Source organism: Homo sapiens, chromosome 1 (assembly GCF_000001405.40).
Source record: "Homo sapiens chromosome 1, GRCh38.p14 Primary Assembly".
NCBI classification, from domain to species: Eukaryota; Metazoa; Chordata; class Mammalia; order Primates; family Hominidae; genus Homo; species Homo sapiens.
This window is the reverse complement of record NC_000001.11, coordinates 48507382-48508243: the sequence shown is the minus strand read 5'-3', so window position 1 is coordinate 48508243 and position 862 is coordinate 48507382.

The following is an 862-nucleotide window of genomic DNA, read 5'->3' as shown; positions in this document are numbered from 1 at the left end:
TATTATCCTGATACAAAAACCCACAAAGACATTATAAGGAAATAAGACTACAGACCAATATCTCTTATGAATACAGACACAAACATCCTCAAGAAAAGTTTTGCAAATCAAATACAGCACTGTATAAAAAGGGTGAGACATTTTTACCAAGTCAAAAAATCCCCGAAATGCAAGGTTGGTTTTTAACATTTGAAATTAGGGTGATTCACTAATTAGAATTAAAATGAAAATTTATGTGATCATTTCAATAGATGTGGAGGAAGCATTGACAAAAGTTCAACATCTATTCATGGTTAAAACCAAAATATAAAAACCTGTCAGCAAAGTGGGAATAGAATATAGTTTATCAACCTGATAAACAGCATCTAGAGTAGGCCTAGAAACAATGACAGGTCCAGTAGTAGTGAGCATCCCTGGTGCCTGCAAGGTGGTCTTAAAACACCATTTCTCATGAAAAGAAATTAGGGCTTCTCAGAAAAATGTCTTCTTCTGGGTCTGTGACAGAAAATATTCCAGATAAACCTGGAACATCTTGCCTAACCATAGAGCAAAAACAATGTTGAAGACTACTAAGGGCCAGTTAAAAGGACTGAGGAGTCAGCTTGTAACACTCTCAGTGGCTAAAGAAGGGACAATTTGGGCTTCAATAAGTGTAACAACTGCAATGGCTTAAAAATGCCAAATATGTTTAAATCCATTATTAGTTCAGTAAAAAATGATTTCGTTTCATGGAATGATAGGACAGCTCATTATCTTGAGTAAATCATTATCTTGGAAACTGGTAAATAGAAAGAATAAAAATTTTATCCTGACTTTCTTGTGAGAACTGGAAACTGTGCTAACAGCAATGTATTAGTCAGGG